Source organism: Homo sapiens, chromosome 6, assembly GCF_000001405.40.
Source record: "Homo sapiens chromosome 6, GRCh38.p14 Primary Assembly".
Classification (NCBI taxonomy): Eukaryota; Metazoa; Chordata; class Mammalia; order Primates; family Hominidae; genus Homo; species Homo sapiens.
Window position 1 is genome coordinate 98,094,008 of NC_000006.12, and position 23,092 is coordinate 98,117,099.

The following is a 23,092-nucleotide window of genomic DNA, read 5'->3' on the forward strand; positions in this document are numbered from 1 at the left end:
AACTATTTATTTCTGTTTCCTGATGTTTTAACAAGTTTAATATCTTCCCTGAATAATATGACAAATGTTATCAAAAATTTTATTCATCTTAAAAATAAGTAATAAACAAATGTGCTTTTGAATTGAGAACACTGACTTTATTAATTTAAACCCTGATTGGAGCTTATTTAAAAATAAATAATGTGGCCGGGCACGGTGGCTCACGCCTGTAATCCTAGCACTTTGGGAGGCCGAGGCGGGTGGATCACGAGGTCAAGAGATCGAGACTATCCTGGCCAACATGGTGAAACCCCGTCTCTACTAAAAATACAAAAAATTAGCTGGGCATGGTAGCGGGTGCCTGTAGTCCCAGCTACTCGGGAGGCTGAGGCAGGAGAATGGCGTGAACCCGGGAGGCGGAGCTTGCAGTGAGCCAAGATTGCGCCACTGCACTCCAGCCTGGGTGACAGAGCGAGACTCCGTCTCAAAAAAAAAATTAAAAAAATAAAATTAAATTAAGAAAATAATAATAATGTTTTTGTTTCTAATACTTTACTAAGTAATAGTGTGTATATAAGTAAATCTATATGATTTTCCCATTGCTGGAGCCTTTTTCTCAGGATAACACATTTTTATAAACTAAATATTTTAAGCATAGTTTTAAAAAATATGCTTAAGATGTCAACATTTTATTGAGTTGCATTCCATTGTACATATATGTAATTATTTATCCATTCAATTATTGATAGACATTAAGTCGTTTCAATTATGTCTATTATAAATGTTATGCTTCTATTCAGCTGCCGTTGTTATTCATATACATGTCTTTTTGTGGACATACGTTTTCATTCCTCTTAAATAAATATCTAGGTATAGAATTGCTGAGTCATGTGGCAAGTGTATGTGTAACTTTATTAAAAATTCCAAACTGTTTGCTGAAGTGACTAAGCCATCTCATATTCCCACTGGCAATGCACTCGAGTTCCTATGTTTCCCCATCAACACTTGATTTCATACATCTTTTAGTTTTCAGCCATTCTAAAGTGTATATAATGGCATCCCAGACTGACACATGCAACAACATGGGTAGATCTCAAAAACTTTAAGCTGAGTGAAATACATCAGGTACAAAAAAGAGTATATTCTATGTGATTCCATTAATGTGAAATTCTAGAAGGCAAATCTAATCTATATTGACAGAAAGCAGATCAGTAGTTGTTTGATGCCAGGAATAGGACTAAGGATTACCTGCAAAGCAGCACAAAGCTAGGGCACTTTTAGGGATCATGGAAATATTCTGCATTTTTATTGGAATTGTGGTTGCATTCATGTATATATTTGTCAGAATTCATCAAACTGTACACTTAAAATTGGTGCATTTAATTGTATGTAGATTATACATCAGTAAAATTCATATAATACGAAACATATCAAATTTACTTTTGAATATTAACATAAAGTCTTAATCATATCTGCTTGCCATGCTTAGGAATACAAAGCATTTTAATAATATGAAAGAAGGGTACAAGCAATCCACAAAATCAAGCATTGTTTCTTCCAGGGAGGCATATCTGTAAAAGCCTCTGAATATCTTTCATTCTTTCAGACTCAGTCAAGTTCTTACACCTAGAGAGTAAAATTCTGATCAGATGGCCAGTTGGGTCAGGTTCTGATATTGCTAGCTTACCAAAATCTGAATATCTGTTAATGATAATTAAATTAATACATGTTCTTTGTCGAAAGCAATGCAGGGGAAGAGAGCATTCATCATTCTAATACCTAAAGGCAACTACTATTGTTATTTTGGAGTATTTCTTTATTTTTAATGCATTTTTAACATTTCAGATAATATGGTAAGTGCTATTTTCTAAGTACATTTTCACTCAATATTAGATCATTAGCATTTTTCCAAGTCTTTAAACATTCCATAAACATCATTTTAATAGCTCATCATATGCCTGTACCATCATTAACTATCACTCTTTCAATGGCATTTCATTTTTTTTTTTTTCCAAACAGCAGATACATTGCCTGGACCATTGAAAATTCTCCAAAAATTTTGTTGAATGAATGAATGAGTTATAAATATTGTGAAGAACATCTTTGTGCCACAATCTGTATTTTTTGAGAAACTTTAAGATAAATTCGCAGAAATAGAATGTCTGTGGCAAACACATAAAAAATGTTAAAGGCACTTGATTCACTTGAGGAAAGCTTTTATCTTGGGAAAAAAGAAAAATTATACTGTACATGGGGCTTCAAAAGTTATCTAAGGCACATTTTAAAATATTTAAAAAGAGTTATAGTTCATTTTAAACTGTTTCTTTCACTGGTGTATTAGTATGTGCAATTAAAGGCAAAACCCTGGCCCTTTTCTTTTTTCTTTATAAAAATAACCTCATGGTGGTCCCATCACTAAGAGCATCTTGGTTTCATAGTGCATCCTATCCCTCTGCATCGCTTTTCATGTAATTTCTGAATTCAAGAATTTTTTTTTCTTGATTATGGCATCTCCCATGATATTTTGCCATCACTGCCTTCTTTTCTCTAGTTTGGTCTTTTTGTAAATTTGCTGCCACTCTGACTCTTATTGAGCAGCAGATACCATGAAAACACAGAACTGCTCTGTGGTGATTGATGGTAGTGGAAGAGTTCACACTCTTTACTTGGTGCTCTGCTCTGTAGAAATCTTCCTTGGCTCATTTTCCCAATGAAGCATCAATCATGAGCCTGCTATTTCTTTTTGTATTGGTTTCTTTTTGTATGTATTTCTCTAAGTCAGAATGTCTTATTGCCCAGAGAGGCAGGTGTTGGGCTTTTCTGAACACATTTGAGGTCTTCCAATTCAAGCTGGCTATTAAAGATGGGAGTACTGCCTGATGATCTGGGTCCATGGCCAGAGAATTATCCAATGCTGGCCTTTGTACTCCAGGCTGTTCCGATTCTATTTTAGCCCTTAATATGTGGGGAGGGGCTCTTTATCTTGTGGCAATATTATGGAACTGGAGAAGAGATTTTCTTACCATATTGCTGCTAGCACATGAATGCTTAGAATTCTTTTGCTTTCTTTATGGCATTTTTCTAGTTTCTCCATTTCCAATTCTCTTCTTTATTCATAGTTTTGGGGCAGTTGCTTGACATAAAAATATTGTGATTTATTTTCAAACTACTGCTTTCCTGGGAGAGAAGCCACTTTTTTTGAGAAGGCACTTTTTAAATACTAATTAGAGATTTAAATTATGTCATGCACCTTACGTAAGCCGCGTGCAGGCCCTAAATTCATATCTATATGACCAAAATAACAAAAATAGCATGTTATCTTGTAGTTTAGCCATCATAAGAACTAAATCCATATGCCATATTCACAGCCTGGTTGGGTGTTGCAAAGAGGATTCTGAAAAAAGTAAATAAAAAGATTGGAGCAACTCAAATCATCCAGTGACAGCATCTCAATATTTCATATACGTTTTAACTTAGGAAGGAATATTTATTCTTTAACTTCCTTTAGATAGAGTTCAGTAACTTTCTGTGTTATTGACCTTTAAAGTTTTTATGCAGATTTTTAAAGCCAATGAGAAAAAACTGCTTCACTGGTTCCTTCTGGGATATGTATCAAAATTGAGGTACGAAATTCTGAATGCTTTTTCAGAAACCCAATTTAAAGCTTTTTAGACTAGTCAATACTGCTCTTCAAATTTAAAAATGCTTTTCTCCTCATTACAAGTGAGGTGAGAGATTACATATAAATGGTTAGTCAAAAGCATGGCAAAACTCCCCTGGCAACTGCCCATTTCCTTGACTCCATTACTATGCACTTCTTGAGGGCATATCAGGAGTAGTGGCTGAGCAAGGATCAAGGGTTCCGGGAAAACAGGTGTCACTCAGACCGTTTTACTTGACAGTCATGAGGATCGAGGTCACTGACCCAGTGGAAGGACGAACAGGCCCAACAACAGTGGCAAGTTGTACATTTTACATTCTTTGCCCTCCTCTTTACATGTTTTCTTTATGATTCACACCAAATCTTTCCTTTTTCGATAATATGGGTAATGTTATTTTGGGGGCCTTAAAAGGACTCAAGTTAAAAGTTACTTGTAGAATTTTGAAATTCAAGACAGGATAAAAAGTAATTTGGGGCCATTGTTTGGGTGATTTGATGATAAATTCTGACTTCTGCCAGGAAATATAAATAAAATGCACCATACAGATGAATTAGAGAAAATGAAATGTCTTTTTTGGTTCAGTGTGCTTTGACTCAGTGGACACAGTGTTTTATTTTTTCATTTAACATCTCTTTTATTTTTCTCTTTTCATTTTCTTCTGATTTATATGGCTCCACTTCTCTCTCTCACTCTCTTAATCTTTTATAATCTGGCGCACACACACACACACACACACACACACACACACACACTTCTCTTTTTGAATAATAGACAAGGTTTTGTGAAATATTTTGAGAGTATGTTCTAAGGGATGAAAGTTGAGCACATTTTTCAGATATTTCTTGAAAAATAGCTGTAAGTCATCTATTTGGTGCCTACCACAGAAAATTAAAATATTCCTGCTTTTTTCTATATTTTAAAATTCCCTTTAAAGTAGCAATCCTCTGTAAAGATGCCATCAGGAAGCATTAAGTGACATTAAATAATTCTGTAAAATATCATAAAGAGTAGATTTTTCACTAGATAATCCTAATAATATTTTACAGCTTATGTGGCCTGCAACCTCCTAATACTCTAGAATATTTATGAAGACAACTGGGAATTAATTTACTAAGTATTGAGTTTAAAATCACTAGAGCATATTCCATTACTAGAGTAGTATCAGTACAAGTGATAAAAATTGAAAGAGTGTTTCAATATGCAAATGACAGTTAAAAGAAATATCACCATGTACTGTGATGGAATGGTAATAATATGAATGAATATCTATTGGTATAATCTAGCAATTTTAAAAGTCTGTTTTGGTAAACAGAATAGACACATTTAATCCACATCTGTCAGATTCAGACTTGAACAAGTAAAGGAAAAACTAAAGGCAATCATTTTACTCTTTTTATATTTATAAGTAAATGTTACATGGATCAATTTGTAAGCTTCTTTTTTAATAAGATAAGATACACCAATTGTTTCTTATAAAACAGGCTTTTCTTCAACATTTGACATTTAGTTCGTACTTTTTTTTTGTTTTATTTTTTAGGCTCAATTTTCCTACATAATTAAGAGTTTGGAATTCGGGCAATATCAAGAACCACATCTGTCCTGAAATCAATTATCTCTGTTTGGTAAGTAGGGGAGAAAATACTTGATAAATATTTCTTATCTGCAACAAATTCTCATGTTCATGTTTTATCTTTGATCTTGTTGAAGACTCTGCAGAAAATTTCTAAGCAACACTTGATTGTTTTGCCCACACTGCTCTGTATTTTGGCCACAGGTTGGAGACTTACTTACTTTTACGAATATAAATATAATCTCCTCTACTCAAAACCAAGCAGTCTGATTTTCTGCCATTCATTTTTACCTTTTCATTTTTACTTTTATTTTAGGTTTGGGTGTATGTGTGAAGGTTTGTTACATAGGTAAACGTGTCATGGGGGTTTGTTGTGCATATTATTTCATCACTCAAGTATTGAGCCCAATACCGGATAGTCATCTTTTCTGCTCCTCTCCCTCCTTCCACCCTTTCCACCCTTCCACCCTTCCCCCTCAGGAAGACCCAGCGTCTGATGTTTCCTTCTTTGTGTTCATAAGTTCTTATCATTTAATTCCTACTTATAAGTGAAAACATGCGGTATTTGATTTTTCTGATCCTGCATTAGTTTGCTAAGGATAATAGCCTCCAGCTCCATCCATGTTCCCATGAAAGACATGATCTCATTCTTTTTTTATGGCTGCATAGTATTCCATGGTATATACATACCACATTTTGATTATACAATCTGCCTTTGATAGGTATTAGGTTGATTCTGCTGTTGTGAAGAGTGCTTCAGTGAACATTTGTGTGCATGTGTCTTTATGGTAGAATAATTTCCATTCTTCTGGGTATATACCCAGTAATGGGATTGCTGGATCAAATAGTAGTTCTGCTTTTAGCTCTTTGAGGAATTGCTGTACCGTTTTCTACAATGGTTGAACTAATTTGCACTCTCACCAACAGTGTATAACTTTCCTTTTTCTCTGTAACCTCACTGGCATTTGTTTTTTTTTTTTTTTTTTGAGTGTTTACTAATAGCCATTCTGACTGGTGTGAGATGGTATCTCATTATGATTTTGATGTGCATTTCTCTAATAATCCGTAGTGTTGAGCTTTTTCACATATGCTTTTTGACGGCATGTATGTCTTCTTTTGAAAAGTATCTGTTCATGTCCTTTGTCCACTTTTTATTGGGGTTGTTCTTTTTTTTTTTTTTACTTCTTGTAAATTTGTTTAAGTTCCTTATAGATGCTGGATATTAGACCATTGTCAGATATATAGTTTGCAAATTTTTTTCCCATTCTGTAGGTTGTCTGTTTACTCTGATAGTTTCTTTTTTGCTCTGTGAAATCTCTTAAGTTTAATTAGATCCCACTTGTCAATTTTTGCTTTTTTTTTGCTACTGTTTTTGGTGCTTTGTCATGAAATCTTTGCCCATTCTTATGTCCAGGATGGTATTGCTTAGGTTGTCTTCTAGGGTTTTATAGTTTTGGGTTTTACATTTAAGTTTTCAATTCATCTTGAGTTGATTCTTGTGTATTATGTAAGGAAGAGGTCCAGTTTAATCTTCTACATATGGCTAGCCAGTTATCCCAGCACCATTTATTGAATAGGGATCCTTTTCCCTATTGCTTGTTTTTGTCATATTTGTCAAAGGCCAGATGGTTGTAGTGTATGGTCTTATTTCTGGGTTCTCTATTCTGTTCCATTGGTCAGGGTGTCTGTTTTTGTACCAGTACCATGCTGTTTTAGTTACTGTAGCCCTGTAGTATAGTTTGAAGCCAGGTAGCATGATATCTCCAACTTTGTTCTTTTTGCTTGGCATTGCCTTGGATATTCGGGCTTTTTTTTTTTTTTTTTACTCTATATGAATTTTAAAATAGTTTTTTCTAGCTCTGCAAAGTGTCTGAATGTTAATTTAATAGGAATAGCATTGAATCTATAAATTGCTTTGGGCAATATGGCCATATTCTTGATATTGAATCTTCCTATCCATGAGCACAAAAATGTTTTTTCATTTGTTTGTGTCATCTCTGATTTATTTGAGCAGGACTGTGTAGTTACCCTTGTAGAGATCTTTCACCTCCCTAGTTAGCTGTATTACTAGGCATTTCATTTTTTCTTTGGCAATTAGGAATGGGAGTATATTATTGATTTGTCTCTCAGCTTGACTGTTGTTAGTGTATAGGAAAGCTAGTGAATTTTGCACATTGATTTTGTATCCTGAGACTTTGATGAAATTTTTTGTCAGCTTAAGAAGCTTTTTTGTTGAGACTGTCAGGTTTTCTAGATATAGAATCCTGTTGTCTGCAAACAGGGCTAGTTTGACTTCCTCTTTTCTTGTTTGGATGCTTTTATTTCTTTATCTTGCCTGATTGCCCTGGCCAGGACTTCCAATACTATGTTGAATAGGAATGGTCAGAGAGGGCATCCTTGTCATGTGCTGGTTTTCAAGGGAAATGCTTCCAGCTTTTGCCCTTTTAGTATGATGTGGGCTGTGGGTCTGTCATAGATGGCTCTTATTATTTTGAGTTATGTTTCTTTAATACCTCACTTATTGAGACTAGATATGAATGGATGTCGTATTTTATGGAAAGTTTTTTGTGCATCTACTGGAGATAATCATGTGTTTTTTTTTCTTTAGTTTGTTTTATGTGATGAATCACATTTATCGTTTTGTGTGTGTGGAACCAAACTTGCATCCCAGGGATGAAACTTGCTTGATCATGGTAGATAAACTTTAATGTGCTGCTGGATCTGATTTGCAGGTAGTTTGCTAAGGATTTTTGCATCAATGTTCATCAAAGATATTTGCCTGAAGTTTTCTTGTTCTGTTGTGCCTCTGCCAGGTTTTGGTATCAGGTTGATGCTGGCCTCATATAATGAGGTAGGGAGGAGTATCTCTTCTTCAATTTTTTAAAATACTTTCTGTGGGTATGGTACCAGCTTTTCTTGGTACATCTTGTTGTAGAATTCAGCTGTAAATTCATCGGGTCCCGGGCTTTTATTGGTTAGTAGGCTATGTATTACTGCTTCAATTTCAGAGCTCATTATTGGTCTGTTCAGGGATTCATTTCTTTCCTTGTTCAGTCTTGGGTGGTGGGTGTATTTCTCCAGGAATTTACCAATTTCTTCTAGATTTTCTAGTTTATGTGCATAGAGGTGTTCATAGTATTATCTGATGGTTGTTTGTGTTTCTATAGGGTCAGTGGATATTGCCACTGATATAACCCCCTTGTTATTTCTGATTGTGTTTCTTTGAATCTTCTCTTTTTTTTTATTAATTAGTCTACCTAGTGGTCTATCTATTTCATTGATTTCTTTTTTTTTAATAGCTTCTGAGTTTGGTGACTTTTTGAATGGCTTTTCACGTTTCAATCTCCATTGGTTCAGCTCTGGTTTTGGTTATTTCTTGTTGTCTGCCAGCTTTGGGATTTTTTTCCTCTTAGTTCTCTAGTACTTTTAGTTGTGATATTAAGTTGTTAATTTGAGATCTTTTTAACTTTGTGATATGGGCATTTAGTGCTATAAATTTCCCTCTTAACACTGCTTTAGATGTGTCCCAGAGATTCTGGTATCTTGTATCTTTGTTCTCATTAGTTTCAAAAATTTCATGATTTCTGTTTTAATGCCATTATTTGCCCAAAAGTCATTCAGGATCAGGTTATTCAATTTCCATGTAATTGTGTAGTTTTGAGTGAGTTTCTTAGTCATGATTTCTAATTTGATTGTGCTGTGGGTCCAAGAGACTGTTATTATTTTAATTCTTTTGCATTTGCTGAGGAATGTTTTCCTTCCAATAATGTGATTAGTTTTTCTGTATGTGCCATATGGTGATGAGAAGAATGTATATGCAGTTGTTTTTGGTTGGGGAGTTCTGTAGCTGTCAGGTCCACTTGATCCAGAGCTGAGTTCAGGTCCTGAATATCTTTGTTAATTTTCTGTCTCGATGATCTAATATTGTCAGTGGCATGCTAAAGCCTCCCACTATTAATATTTGTGAATCTACTTCTCTTTGAAGGTCTCTAAGAACTTACTTTGTGAATTTTGGTGCTCCTGTGTTGGGTACATATATATTTAGGATAGTTAGATCTTCTTGTTGAATTGAACCCTTTACCATTATTTAATGCCCTTCTTTGTCTTTTTTGATCTTTGTTGGTTTAAATTCTGTTTTGTCAAAAACTACTATTGTAACCCTTGCTTTTTTATTTTTCTTTTGGTTGGTAGGTTTTTCTACATCTCTTTGTTTTGAACCTATGTGTGTTGTTCCAGGCGAGATGGCTCTCTTGAAGACAGCATACCAGTCGGTCTTGGTTCTTCATCCAGTTTGCCACTCTGTGTCTTTTCGTTAGGTCATTATGATGTTACCTAGTTACTTTGCATAATTGTTCATGTGGCGGCTTTATAGTGTCACTGGTTTGTGTTCCTCAATATGTTTTTATAATGGCTGATAATGGTCTTTCCTTTTCATATGTAGAGCTTCCTTCAGGAGCTTTTGTAAGGCAGATCTGGTGGTGACAAATTTCCTCAGCACTTGCTTGTTGAAAAGGATCTTACTTCTCCTTCACTTTTGAAGCTTAGTTTGGCCAGATATGAAATTCTGAGTTGGATTTTTTTTTCTTTAAGAATATCTAATATTGGCACCCAATCTCTTCTGGTTTGTAATATTTCAGCTGAAATGTCCACTGTTAGTCTGATGAGATTCCCTTTGTAGATGACTTGACCTTTCTCTCTAGCTGCCTCTAAGATTCTTTTCACCTCTTCATCTATTGTGCTATGAATGCTTATGGATTTCATTATGAAATTATTGTAGTGTGTTTTTCAGCTGTATATGGTTGGTCCCATTCTTCTCTCTACTGTCTACTCTGTTGGTCAGCTCCTGTAATGTTTTATAATGATTTTAACATCCTTGCATTGGGCTTCAACATGCTCCTATAGCTGAATGAACCTTGTTCTTAACTATATTCTGAATTCTATTTTTGTCATTTCAGATATCTCAGCCTCAGTCCAGTTCCAAACCCTTGCTGGAGAGGTGATGTGTTCATTTGGAGAAAAGATGGCACTCTGGCTTTTTAAGTTTTCAGCATTTTTGTGCTCTTTATTTCTCATCTTTTTTGCCTTCAATCATTGAGGCTGCTGATCTTTGGATGAGTTTTTAGTTCCATTTATCCTATTTGATGTCCTCGAGGGTTTGATTGTGGTGTAAGATGGATTCAGCCAACTGGCTTAGTTTCTGTGAGATTTTAGGCCAACACTCAGCTCCCAACTCTGGACTGTGTGCTCTAACTCTGGGGGACTTGCACTGGGCTTTTGTTCTTTGACTCCTCAAGGTTTGGAGTCCACTGTGCTGGGCGGACTGAAGTGTGGCAGATGAAGCAGAGTGCTAGTGGATGCAGGGGTGCCTGCTTTCCTGTGGGTGTTCACCACAGTGGCAGAGGCCAGGCAGCTGGGGAGGAGTTGGGATTCTCTGCTGAAGACCATGCGCTGTGTTGCTCTGAAGGTTGTGTTGGCTTGGGGCAGCATGCTGGCTGTCACACATCTGAGCTCCTTCTCTGTGCTCTCCAAGCAGTAGTGATTGCTCAGGGTGTGGGAGGATGCCCTGTATTCTGCACAGTGTGTCAGTGCAAGGGCTAGACACTAGCAGGGGATGGGCTTGCTGGCTGTGTGCCCACCAAGGCTCACTCTGCAATGGCGGTCAGTAGAGTTGAGGTGTACTAAACTTCTGCATACTGGCAGGGCAAGTAAAGCAAAGCCTGCCCATGCAGACACTTGTCAGCAAAGTGATGTGGAGATTTGTTGTGGGCTAGGGGGAAGATGCGGTATGGGGAGGGAAATGTGGACTGGTGTGCAGCCATAGGGGCTGCCTCACTGGAACCCTCTTATAAAGATTACATTAATATTTCACTGAGTTATTTATCAGGAGGTCTCATTTTTGATATAATTTTTTGTGTGTTTCATTATTTTGCTGACATTTACATTATATTTTACATACATTTTTAACTGACTATTAAAGATGCTAGGAGATATATTAAAAGAGGAAAATAACACCATGTTAGGAACTTTTAGTTTTTATTCAAATTTTAATTTCCTATTAAAACTTCTGCACGATTGCCATGTTTGATCAGAGAGGAATGAGCAAGAACATTGTGATGGTGGAGAAGGACTCTCTGGGCATTTTTTCTGTTACAGCTTTAGCTAACTTTTTCAGAACACTCTTATAAGAACCAGATGTTATCATTCTTTGTCCCTCCAGAAAGTCAACAAGCAAAATGCCTTCAGATTCCCAAAATGCTGTTATCATCTTTGCTCTTGACCAGTCCCCTTCTTTGACTGGACTACTTCCACCTCTTGGTAGCCATTGCTTTGATTATGCATTGTCTTCAGGATTGTACTGGTAAAGCCCTGTTTCATCTCCTGTTGCAATTCTTTGAAGAAATTCTTCATAATCTCTATCTCAGTTGTTTACAGTTCCCATAGATATCTCTCCTGTTTTTTGTAACTTATCTAGGTGCCACAGTTTTGGCACTCATTGAGTGGAAAGTTTGCTCATCTTTAACTTTTCAATAGGAATTGTGTAAGCTGAATCAATTAGGAAGTCTATAGTGGTGGCTATTGTCTGTGCTGTTGTCAGTTCTTTTCAATTAGGTCAAAATCAAGGTTAATTTTTTCCTCACAGGTTGATACGGATTGTTTGCTGCTGTGGGCTTTATATTTAACATTACCCTATCCCTTCTTAAAATGAGTTATCCATTTTTAAACTGCTGACGTCTTTGGAATATTGTCCCTGGAAGCTTTTTGTAGAGCGTCAATGATTTCACCATTCTTCCACTCACTCGTCACCATAAAGTTGATGTTTGTTCCTGCTTCAATTTTTGTAGAATTCATGTTGCTATGATAGGGGCTCTTTTCAAACCAGTGTATTATTCTTCATAGTGCCTCAAACTAGATCCTGTTTAAACATGTTAGAACAAGTTAGGATGAGTTTATTTTGATGCAAATTTTTTTATTTTCAGGCATAGTTTTTTCATAATACCCATTTTTCATGAAATTTTTGAACAACCCATTGTATTTCTCTGAGCTAATATTGTAGTGGGAAAGGGGTCTTGGAGAAAAATAAAGTAAAGCATTTTTACATACATAAAAGTGCATTAGAGTGGGGAAAACACCTGACTCTTTATTCTAAAGATGATAGAGAAATGTGCACATGATTGTACAAGTAGAAAATGGAGAATAAATATTAATAAAATAGTGAACTATAGTTTTGCTTTCACATTTACAAGGGTAAAATAGAATGAAGCAACCTAGTCAATTGAGAAAAAGGGAAAATTCAGTATCTAAGAAATATTTAATTAACATAGAAGCAACAAAGTCAAATTTATAAGATAATGCTATACATGAATGAACTGAATTTTCTCATAAGAAAGAGACTATGATATTGAGTTAAAAAATACAACAGAGTTTAAGCACACTTAAGGTATACATAAAAGAAAGTTTAAAGATAAAGCAATAGACAAATGAACAGGAGGCAAAGATAAAGATTGTAGAAGTGTCAATGGTAATATCAGACATGATACAGTCAATATTAAAAGTCTGAAAATGAACTAAAATACCAACTAATAATAAAATGAGTGTATTATAAAGAAGATATGATATATAGAAGATAATATATGAAAAAGATAAACTTCTTTTCAATAGGCCACAAAATAGCTGAATCTGTTTGTAGAGGAATATTTCAATTACCCACTTTTAGGCTTAGAGAGAGACAGGAAGAAAATAGCCATAAAAATAAGATGAATAATAAAATCAATAATGTTCAACAATTAGCTATACATAGAAGTTTGTATCTCTTGAAAAGTTAAGATACTTAATTTGTGTATTATGGGGAGTTTGTAAAAATTGTCCAAAATTGGCCACAAAGGAAACATTAAGAAATTTAAAACAAGGGAATTTCTAGGCCACATTCTCTAATTATTACCAAATAAATAAATAAAGCACAAGAAAAACAAAAGCTAAAGTATTCTGAGGTTACTTGGAAATTAGACAATTATTGGATCAGATTTTTTTTTTAAGTAGGAAAATTATATCTCTAGAAAGCAAAAAATAAAAAATAAAAACACAACACTTTGTGACATAATTGTAAGAACACAGGAAAAGTACTTATCTGAAGAAAATGCATTATGAATGTCTTAATAAAAAAGAAAAACAAGGCCGGGCATGGTGGCTCATGCCTGTAATCCCAGCACTTTGGGAGGCTGAGGTCGGTGGATCACCTGAGGTCAGGAGTTTGAGAGCAGCCTGGCCAACATGGCAAAGCCCCGTCTCTACTAAAAATATAAAAATTAGCTGGGTGTGGTGGTGTACGCCTGTAATCCCAGCTACCTGGGAGGCTGAGACGGGAGAATCGCTTGAACCCAGGAGGCGGAGGTTGCAGTGAGTTGACATGGTACCATTGCACTGCAGCCTGGGCAACAGCAAGACTCCATCTCAAAAAAAAAAAAAATGTACAAATTATTTTATGAAATTAGAAAAATAGTTACAAAACAGTGCAAAATAAAGTAGAAAGAGGGCTTACCATATAAAAGTTAAAAATTTTAAATTAATAAGGTAAAATATAGAAAATAGTAAATGATAAATAAAATCAAAGCTGTTCATTTAATAGGTATTGTATAAAGAAAAACACTTCAGGAGACTTATTAAAAATAAAAGTGTGTAAATATTGCAGGTTTCATTCCTGACCACTGGAATAAAGTAAATAGTGCAAGAAAGCAACTTACACAATTGTTTTTGGTTTCCCAGTGCATATAAAAGTTATGTTCACTTTATACTATTGTCTTTTAAGTGAGTAATGATAGCATCATGTCTAAAAAATGTACCTAACTTCATTTAGAAAAAAAAAACTTTATGGCTAACAAATGCTAGCAATTATCTGAGCCTACAGCAAGTTGTAATCTCATTGCTGGTAGATGGTCTTGCCTTGATATTGATGGCTGCTGACTGATCAGGGTTGCTGAAAGTTGGGTGGGGTATGGCAATTTCTTAAAATAAAACAAAGTTTGCCATAAATTGACTCTTCCTTTTACAAAAAGTTTCTCTGTAATATGCAATGCTACTTGAGAGCATTTTACCCAAAGTAGAACTTTCAAAACTGGAACTCAAACTCTGCCACTCCTTTATCAACTAAAATGGTGTAATATTCTAGATCCCTTGTTGTCTTATTAACACTGCTCACAGCATCTTCACCAGGAGCAGATTCCATCTTCAGAAACCAGTTTCTTTGCTCATCCATAAGAAGCAGTTTCTTATGAGTTTTATCATGAGATTATAGCAATTCAGCCTTATCTTTGGGCCCACTTCCAATTCTAATTCTCTTGTTCTATCTACCACTACTTCCTCCACTGAATCTTGAACCCCTCAAAGTCATTTATGAAGGTTAGAATCAGTTTCTTATAAACTCCTGTTAATATTGATATTTTGACATCCTCCCATAAATCACAAATGTTCTTAATGATGTCCAGAATGGTGTATTATTTCCAGAATGTTTCAGTTTACTTTTCCCAGGTCTATCGAAAGAATTACTTTCTATGGCAGCTGTAGCCCTACAAAATGTATTTCTTAAATACTAAGTCTTGGAAGTAAAAATTAGTCCTTGATTCATGGACTGCTGAATGGTTGTTATGTTAGCAGCCATGAAAACAAAGTTAATCTCCTCGTACATCTTCATCTGAGCTCTTGGGTGATTAGGTGCATTGTTAACGAACAGTATAGCTTGAATGAAATCTTTTTTTTGAGCGGTAGGTCTCAACATCAGTGAGCTTAAAATATTCTGTAAACCTTGCTTTCAACAAATGTGCTGTCATACAGGCTTCGTTGTTTCCATATATAAGGCACGAGCAGAGTAGATTTAGCCTAATTCCTAAGGGCCCTGGGATTTTTGGAATGGTAAATGAGCATTCGCTTCAACTTAGTCACCAGCTGCATTAGCCCCTAACAAGAGAGTCAGCCTGCTCTTTGAAGCTTTGAAGGCAGGTGTTGACTTCTCCTTTCTAGCTATGAAAGAACCAAATGACATCCTCTTCCAACATGTAAGGCAGTTTCATCTACATTGAAAATCTGTTGTTTAGTGTAGTCACCTTTATCAATGATCTTAGATAACTCTTCTGGATAATTTGCTGCAGCTTCTATATCAGCACTTGCTGCTTCACCTTGCACTTTTATGTTATGGAGATAGCTTCTTTCCTTAAATCTCATCAACAATCCTCTACTAGCTTCAAACATTTCTTCTACAGATTCCTCACGTCGATCTGCCTTCATAGAATTGAAGAGTTGGGGGCTTGCTCTGGATTAGGCTTTGTCTTAAAGGAATATTTTGGCTGGTTTGGTTTTCTATCAAGACAATCACTCAAACCTTCTCCATATCAGCAATAAGTCTGTGTTGCTTTCTTCTCATTCTTGTGTTCACTGGAGTAGCACATTTAATTTCTTTCAATAACTTTTACTCTGCATTCACAAGTTGGCTAACTGTTTGATGAAAGCAGCCTAGCTTTCACCCTGTTTCGACTTTTGACATGCCTTCCTCACTAAGCTTACCCATTTCTAGCTTTTGATTTAGAGTGACTCTTCCTTTCACTTGAACACTTACACGCTATAAGTGTTGGCCTCATTTCCATATTGTTGTGTCTCAGGGAATAGAGAGGTCCAAGAAGATGGAAAGAGGCAGTGAATGGCTGGTCAATAGACCAGTCAGAACACATAGAATTTTTACAGCATTTATAGATTAAGTTGGCCAACTTAAATGGGTGCAGTTTGTGGTGCTCCAAACAATGACAATAGTAACATCAGAGATTACCAATCATAGGTTACCATAACAGAAATAAAAATGTTTTAAATATTGCAGGAATTGCCAAAATGTGATGCAGAGATGCAAAGTGAGCACATGCTCTTGGAAAAAATGTCACCAATGGACTTCGCAATGCAGGGTTACTGCAAATCTTCAATTTGTAAAAAATGCAGTATCTAACAAAGTGCATTAAAGTGAAGTGCAATGAAAGGAGATATGCTTGTATATATATAATCATGAATCGCATGGTGATATTTTAGTCAGTGATGGACTACATATATGATGGTGGTCCTATAATATTATACTGAAGCTGAAAAAATTATATAGCCTAGTGGTATCTCAATGATACTGACCCTATGTAAGTCTAGGCTAATATATGTATTTCTACCTATAGGTGAAAGTCTAAATAAATAGCATTACAAATAGGAGTAATTAATCAATAAGTTGGACTGCTGTAATACAACATATACAAAAATTTCAGGTGTTTTTGAAAGGATCTGTACAAATACTTTGGAGATTATATTTGCAACCTGGAATCTGCGAGGTGCCTTCTTAACCAAGAATAGGAATCCAGTTGCCAGAAAAGAATTGATAGGCTTGTTTGATAATATAAAAATGAAAACTTTGTAGAGCTAAAGATTAAATTGACCAAAAACTTGAGGTGTAATATAAGGTAGAAAGAAAGAAATAAGGATCCCTTACATTGTTTCTAATCATTCTCACTAGAATATTATGCATTACTTTTGGACAAATTATTTCACTATTATAATTAGATAAATAGAGTAATGCTTTCAACTGAAATGAAGTCAAAATTCATTCATTTAATTTATTCAGCAAATACATTTCGGGCACCTGTTTGTTATAGACTTGTTTTAGGTCCTGGGGATACAGCTGTAAACAGAACTGAAGAAGAAAAACTTGCCCTCAGGAGCTCACATTCTAAATGAGAAAAATTAATAGGTAGAAAGTAAAATATAAGATGGAAAACGTAAATTATACATTAAAGAAAACAATACAATTTGCAATATGTCAGATAGTGATAAGTGCAGTAGATAATAACTAGGGTAGTGTTATAGGAAGTATGACGTGTGTGTGTGTGTGTGTGTGTGTGTGTGTGTACACAATTTTAGACAGCATACCTAGAGAAGAATGCTCTGGGAAGGTAGTGGGTTAGTTAAGACCTGAAGGAAAAGGGAAACAAATCCTATGAATATTAAAGTTGAGATTATAAGAGGCAGTGGAAAGAACAACATCAAAGGATGTGAGTTGGGAGCATGCCTAGTTTATTTAAAGGACAACGGAGAGGCAAATATGATTTTAGCAGAATGACCCGGCTTGTGAAAAAGAGAGGAATAGATGATAAACTCAGAGGTGACAGGTGACCAGGTTAGTTATAACTTCTTACGTTAGGAAGTCTTTGTCTTTTACCCTGAGTAGGATGGAGAACTATGAGCATAAAAGTGCATTGGTGCACTTTACATTTTTGCAGAATTCCTCTGGCTTCAGCTAGGTATAGTTTGGAGGGGGGCAACGTGAGAGCTGGAGCAGTTGAGAGGCTTTAGTAATAATCTAGGAGGGAGATAATGATAGTTTGATTTAAAGTGGTAATGGATGTGAAAAATGTAAAATATTACTTATAGCAGAAATATAATGGATAACAAGAGTTGACCACTGGGCTTGGCAAAATAGAGTTCACTGATAACTTAGTTTAGGTGTAGTGGAGAGTGGCAAAAAGCCTGTTTGGAGTGGAGTCAAATGAAAGTGGGAGGAGAAAGTGAGATTAGATGTCTTCAAGGAAGTTTTGATATAAAAGGAAGGAGAGAATTAGGCGGAAATGGGAAGGGAAAACGTAGAGAGAAGAAAATTATGGTATGCAAGAAAGGAAAGATTTGCTTGAGCGGTGTACTTGATTAGGCCATATGCGATGTAATCCAGCAGGTGAATGGAGGATTTGGCCTATGTAGGAGTAAGAACAATTCCTCCACAGTAATAGAAAAAAAAAAAGGCAAAATGTAAGGTTACAAAGGTAGGTTTCTAGAAGTGTGAAAAAAATGGAAAAAACTTATGGAAATTCCCTTCGATTGATTTCTATTTTCTCAGTGAAATACAGAGCAAGGACATGCCTGAGAGTGAACATGAGGGAGGAGATACTAGAGACCTGGAGAGGAGGAAATATGAATCATACATTATTCTAGATAATTGAGAGAGTGAACGGAAGTACAGAACAATCGAGCACTAAAAAAAATTGAAGTTTGTGCTCATAAATGTAAAGTGAGTTCAGAAACACTCTGTGTGTCTGTGTGTGTGTGTGTGTGTGTTTCTTCAACTTTATTCAGAGCAACTGTATGTACTAGAATTGGCACAACTGCATTTAATCAAGTTTATTGTTTTGTCATCTGGTAGGATGAATTAAAATAGGTACAAGTCTTCTTGGTGTTAACACAAATAAGTTGAAAACTTATGTCCACACAAAAACCTGCAGCTTTATTTATAATTGCCAAAACTTGGAAACAGCCAAGATGTCATTCAGTAGATGAATGGAAAATGAACTTCCACACAGTGGGATATGGTTCATTGCTAAAGAGAAATTAGTTATCAAGCCATGACGAGACATGGAGTAAACTTAAATGCATATCACTAAGTGAAAGAAGCCAATCTGAAACAGCTATATACTGTATGATTCCTACCATGTAACAGTCTGGAAAATGAAAAACTGTGGAGATAATTAATAAAAGATCAGTGGTTTCCAGAGGTTGAGAAAGGAATTAATAGCCAGAACACAGACGATTTTGTTTTGGGCAATAAAACTACTCTCTGTATGTTACCATAATGGTGTATACATGTCATTAGGCATTTGGTGAAACCCATCAATTGTACAACACCAAGAGTGAAACCTAATGTAAATTATGGACTTTTGGTGACAATGCAGCCACGTAGGTTCAGTTGTAACAAATATTCCACTCTGGTAGGAGATGTTGATAATTGGGCAGACCATGCAAGTGTGAGGGTAGTAGATATATGGACCTTTCCCTTAATTTTGCTGTGATAGTGGTAGGTATAGCTTGAGATTTACAAAATTGACATAAGGTTATAGAGGAACACACTTGAAATTTTCAAAGTCTAAAGAGAAGATAAAAAGTAATATCTATGTTGAGATTCATGAAAATTCCAACTCAGTTGTTTGTTTTGAACACAGGTTCCATGACACATTTTGCAAAATATTTAGTTATACTATTAGATATTGAGCTCTTCCAAAAAATTGCTACATGTATTATTAAACTACCATAGATTTGTTTTTCATCATTTTTTTCTAAAGCATTTTAGAAGCCATTGATGTAATTTCTTCAGAATGATTGTCTCTGAGTATGGATTCATTTTATGTGAAGGATGCCTTGAAAGTATCCCTTTCAACATTTAATACCTAATTGTTCTTTCTCTCTCTCTGTCTCTCACACACACCCACACACACGCACACACACACAAAATATACAATACCTGTATGACTGTGTGTATACATTTTAGTGTTTTATGATTGATAAACTTTTGTTATATTGTTTCTCAAACTTCATATTCATATACTGAAGCGTCTTTTAAAAATATATGTTCCCATAAAATTACCCTTCTCATCCACTGTCAGCTAACTATGGTGTCTCAGTTTCTATTCCATTCATTTTCCACCCTTTACATATCTTCTGTAAGGTTTCAGTATGAGAACTTCAGCCTAATCTAACATTTGTTTCTGGCTGTTGAAGCCAACATGTAGATTCTCTGTTTTTCAGGAATATGGATATGAGAGATCACTTTGCTGTGCTGTAAATGATCGATTAAAATACATATTTCTGTAAGCATATTTCAATTTATTTTTTATGAAGTATCTAAACTGCTATTTACTCTGTGCATTTGTACTAAACTGCTATTTACTCTGTGCATGTTACCTTTAAAAAGTCTCTTTAGAATTTTAAAGTTTTAAAGGGAGGAGGAAACTTGAGATCATTTTGTTCAGCATTTTTCATACTGTGAATAAGATGTTAATAAGTGCTCTAGTTGTTTAAATACTCTGTTTTCTTATAAGACAATTATAAAATACACTAACATGTTAAAAATATATGAGAAGTTCTGAAGTAAGGAAACCTGATCAAATTCAACAGCGCTTTTTCCAAATATATTAGATATCAAAATTACTATCCATTTTTATTTTTTCTTTGAACATCTATAAAAACTTCATTGATTGAATGCTTCTCAGAATAGTTAGAGAATTATTGTCCTCTCTGTAAATGAGTAAACACAGACATGGTATATTTATAAGGCTTTCTAAAGTTATGTGGCTGTTTATTATCAGGAAGAATCAGAGCTAATTTGGACACCCAATTAAGTGCTCCTTTCTTCTTGCAGTTTGTCTCCTGGTACTTTCTTATCCCAGTGCTGTGCTGAGCCATATTGGAGCCTAAGGCAAAAGGGACCATCAGTAACACTAATCCTGTCTTTATTTAAAATTTTGATATTTTGTTCATCATGGATTTATTTGCATAAATTTTAATATTGAAATCTATTGATTAAAATATTATGTATCTTGATTACTGAGTTTTTCGTTATCCCTTCTGTTCTTGAGACAATGACTCATTTATCTGGCCCTACTCTCTGCTCTGATTACTCCTTCAAAACTACGTGTATCTCCGGTCTTAGAACATCCAAGCAACTTTATATTCCAAGTTATTTAAAAGCATGATGAATTTAGAAAATATCCACATCACAGCTTTGGTAACTTCCATTCCTCACATTTGTAGGTAGAAACATACCTACTCTTCTTTGCCTTTGTCTTCCGGGGAAAAATAAATAGTGCTGCTCCAATTTTTGGCATATAAAATTATAAATACCGTCTACTTTATTGCACACCTTCTGAAAGTCTGATCTCAATTTAATTATAATTAACAACCCAAATTTTCTATTAATCAGTTCCTAGGTGTAGGGGAATAAACTTGGGGCAGAGATTGCATCTAGTCTAGTTCAGCTTGATAAAAATACATATTCACTAACTTACTGAATTCTAATATGGAATTTCCCAAAGCGTATTTCAGCAAGGAGAATGATCATAAGGTCAGGGGGGAAAAAAGTAATAAAATTAGTTGGACAGTAAAGATCTGAAGGAAACTTAAGAGATTCTTTATTTCAGAACTTAGTGCCTCTAATATGCTAATGTTCTTTAGTAATACAGAAAATAACCTTATAAAATGCAGTGTTTTTTAAACAGATCTAACTACAGAAACTTTATATATATATATATATATATATATATATATATGTCTGCATGTATGTGAGATTTTGCATTGAACATCTGCCGTGGCACTGTAGTTTCACAGATCATCTTTGGAAAGTATATCTGTAATAAACTAGTCAAGCTTGGATTTTGTTTTGCAGAAAGTGTTTTTTCAGATGATATATAACTCAATGTTCAATTATAGCACTTTTTTTTTCTCCAGTAGTGGCTCACTAATCCCAGAGCCCAGCTAGGACTTTTCTTGTGCATGGAAGAACTATTGAAAATGAATCAATTGTTTTACCAAGTGAAATTTATAGGAATAGATTTTAATATTCTGGTCAACACATTTGCCTTTTCACAGTTAATTTTTTTTTTTATAACTCTTGGCGAGCTGTTGATCACTTAATGGTAGAGGTCTCCTAATCAATCATATTTGGCACAGCTTATATGCTTATTCCTATTGGCTCTGGTACCTCTGTCCTGCTTACTTCAAAAGAAGTTTTGAAAATAGAAACTTCATTTCTTGTCATACCTCTGTTGTTTTCCACATATAATGTACCCTTCTCATCTGACCGTCCTTGCAACTTGGAAGAACTCGATTTTCCTTCTTTTCCCTGTGAAGCTTGGAAGAGCTCGATTTTCCTTCTTTTCCCTACCTTCAGAGATGCTGACAAAAATGATTTCTTGCCCCCCATTCCCGATTACTAATTTGGAAAAAAATATCAATCTTCTAAAAATTTAACATGGAGTCTAAAACTGATATCCCTGAAAATAAATGTAAAAACGTAGATAAATTTTGGTAAAGATGTGATAACAGTGCTTTCAACTGCAGATGAAGGTTTAATATTGACTAAAATTTAAAAGCATTGCCTTGAATTCCCTTTCCATCTCTTTTGTTTTAGGTGTGGACACTTTGATAACATGTCAAAGTTATCAAAGATGCTATACCATCTTTCAATAGTATCACAACAGACACCCACAACACACTTGCACTTGTTTTCATTAGTTAGTTTTCAGATATGAACATCCCAGATATTTATTCTTTGTCCACACAACTTGGTCCGAATTTCGATTAGAAAGGAATTTGTTCATCCTTTGTGGCATCTTGAGCAGCATTACTTTAGGAGTCTGAGTTTTGCAAAATGAAACAGGTAATTGTTGTTTATAAAATATTATGATGGCACAGAGTCTGTGGCAACTAAAAACATTCCAGTGTTTGCTGCAAGGCATGAGGAGACAGTGACACAGCTCATTTCCTCAGCTGAGCTCTCTTTGCTGCCTTGTACAACACTTATTTCAAAGCATGCCACAGCTTAGAACTGTCGTGATCCCCATTAATATAAAATCATTGACCTCTGCTCCCGCTGGTGCGACTAAATTACATTCTGCTGCTCAGCAGCAGCCGCACATGGGGCCAGCGCTTTTAGTCGTCGCCAGGTGCCTTGATGCCAGCGCAGCCCCTCCTACGCCCAGGGTTTGCCTTTAATGAGGATTAGGCACCTTCAAAGATCTAGGAGGACCTACTCCCAGGATGGAAGCCTTTCTAATGGTATCTGGGCTTATCATAGGCAGTAATTTAGTATTTCAACTGAGACTGGAGAGAGATTCATTTCTCCTCTCTAAGAAATTGTAAGAATATATAGTTTTGTGATTGTTTTTTTTTCCTTCCATTCCACCAGCACAAATTCAAGAGCATTATGCCTAACAATATCATATTTTTATGAGATCTAGAAGCTGCATGTGGTAAAGCAATATCATAAATTTTGGTATGGTCCAGGTAGGGAAATTCCTTTTTTGGACTATTTTTATGTTATGTGCTATTA

The 23,092-nt window shown here is 35.2% G+C and overlaps 1 annotated feature.

Annotated features, from left to right (window-relative positions):
• Positions 22,214–22,715: an enhancer, noted in NCBI's record as "H3K4me1 hESC enhancer chr6:98564097-98564598 (GRCh37/hg19 assembly coordinates)". NCBI's record gives its function as "activates a minimal SCP1, AML or CMV promoter by ChIP-STARR-seq in primed H9 embryonic stem cells {active_cell/tissue: H9 hESC(primed)}" and the evidence as "EXISTENCE:reporter gene assay evidence [ECO:0000049][PMID:30033119]".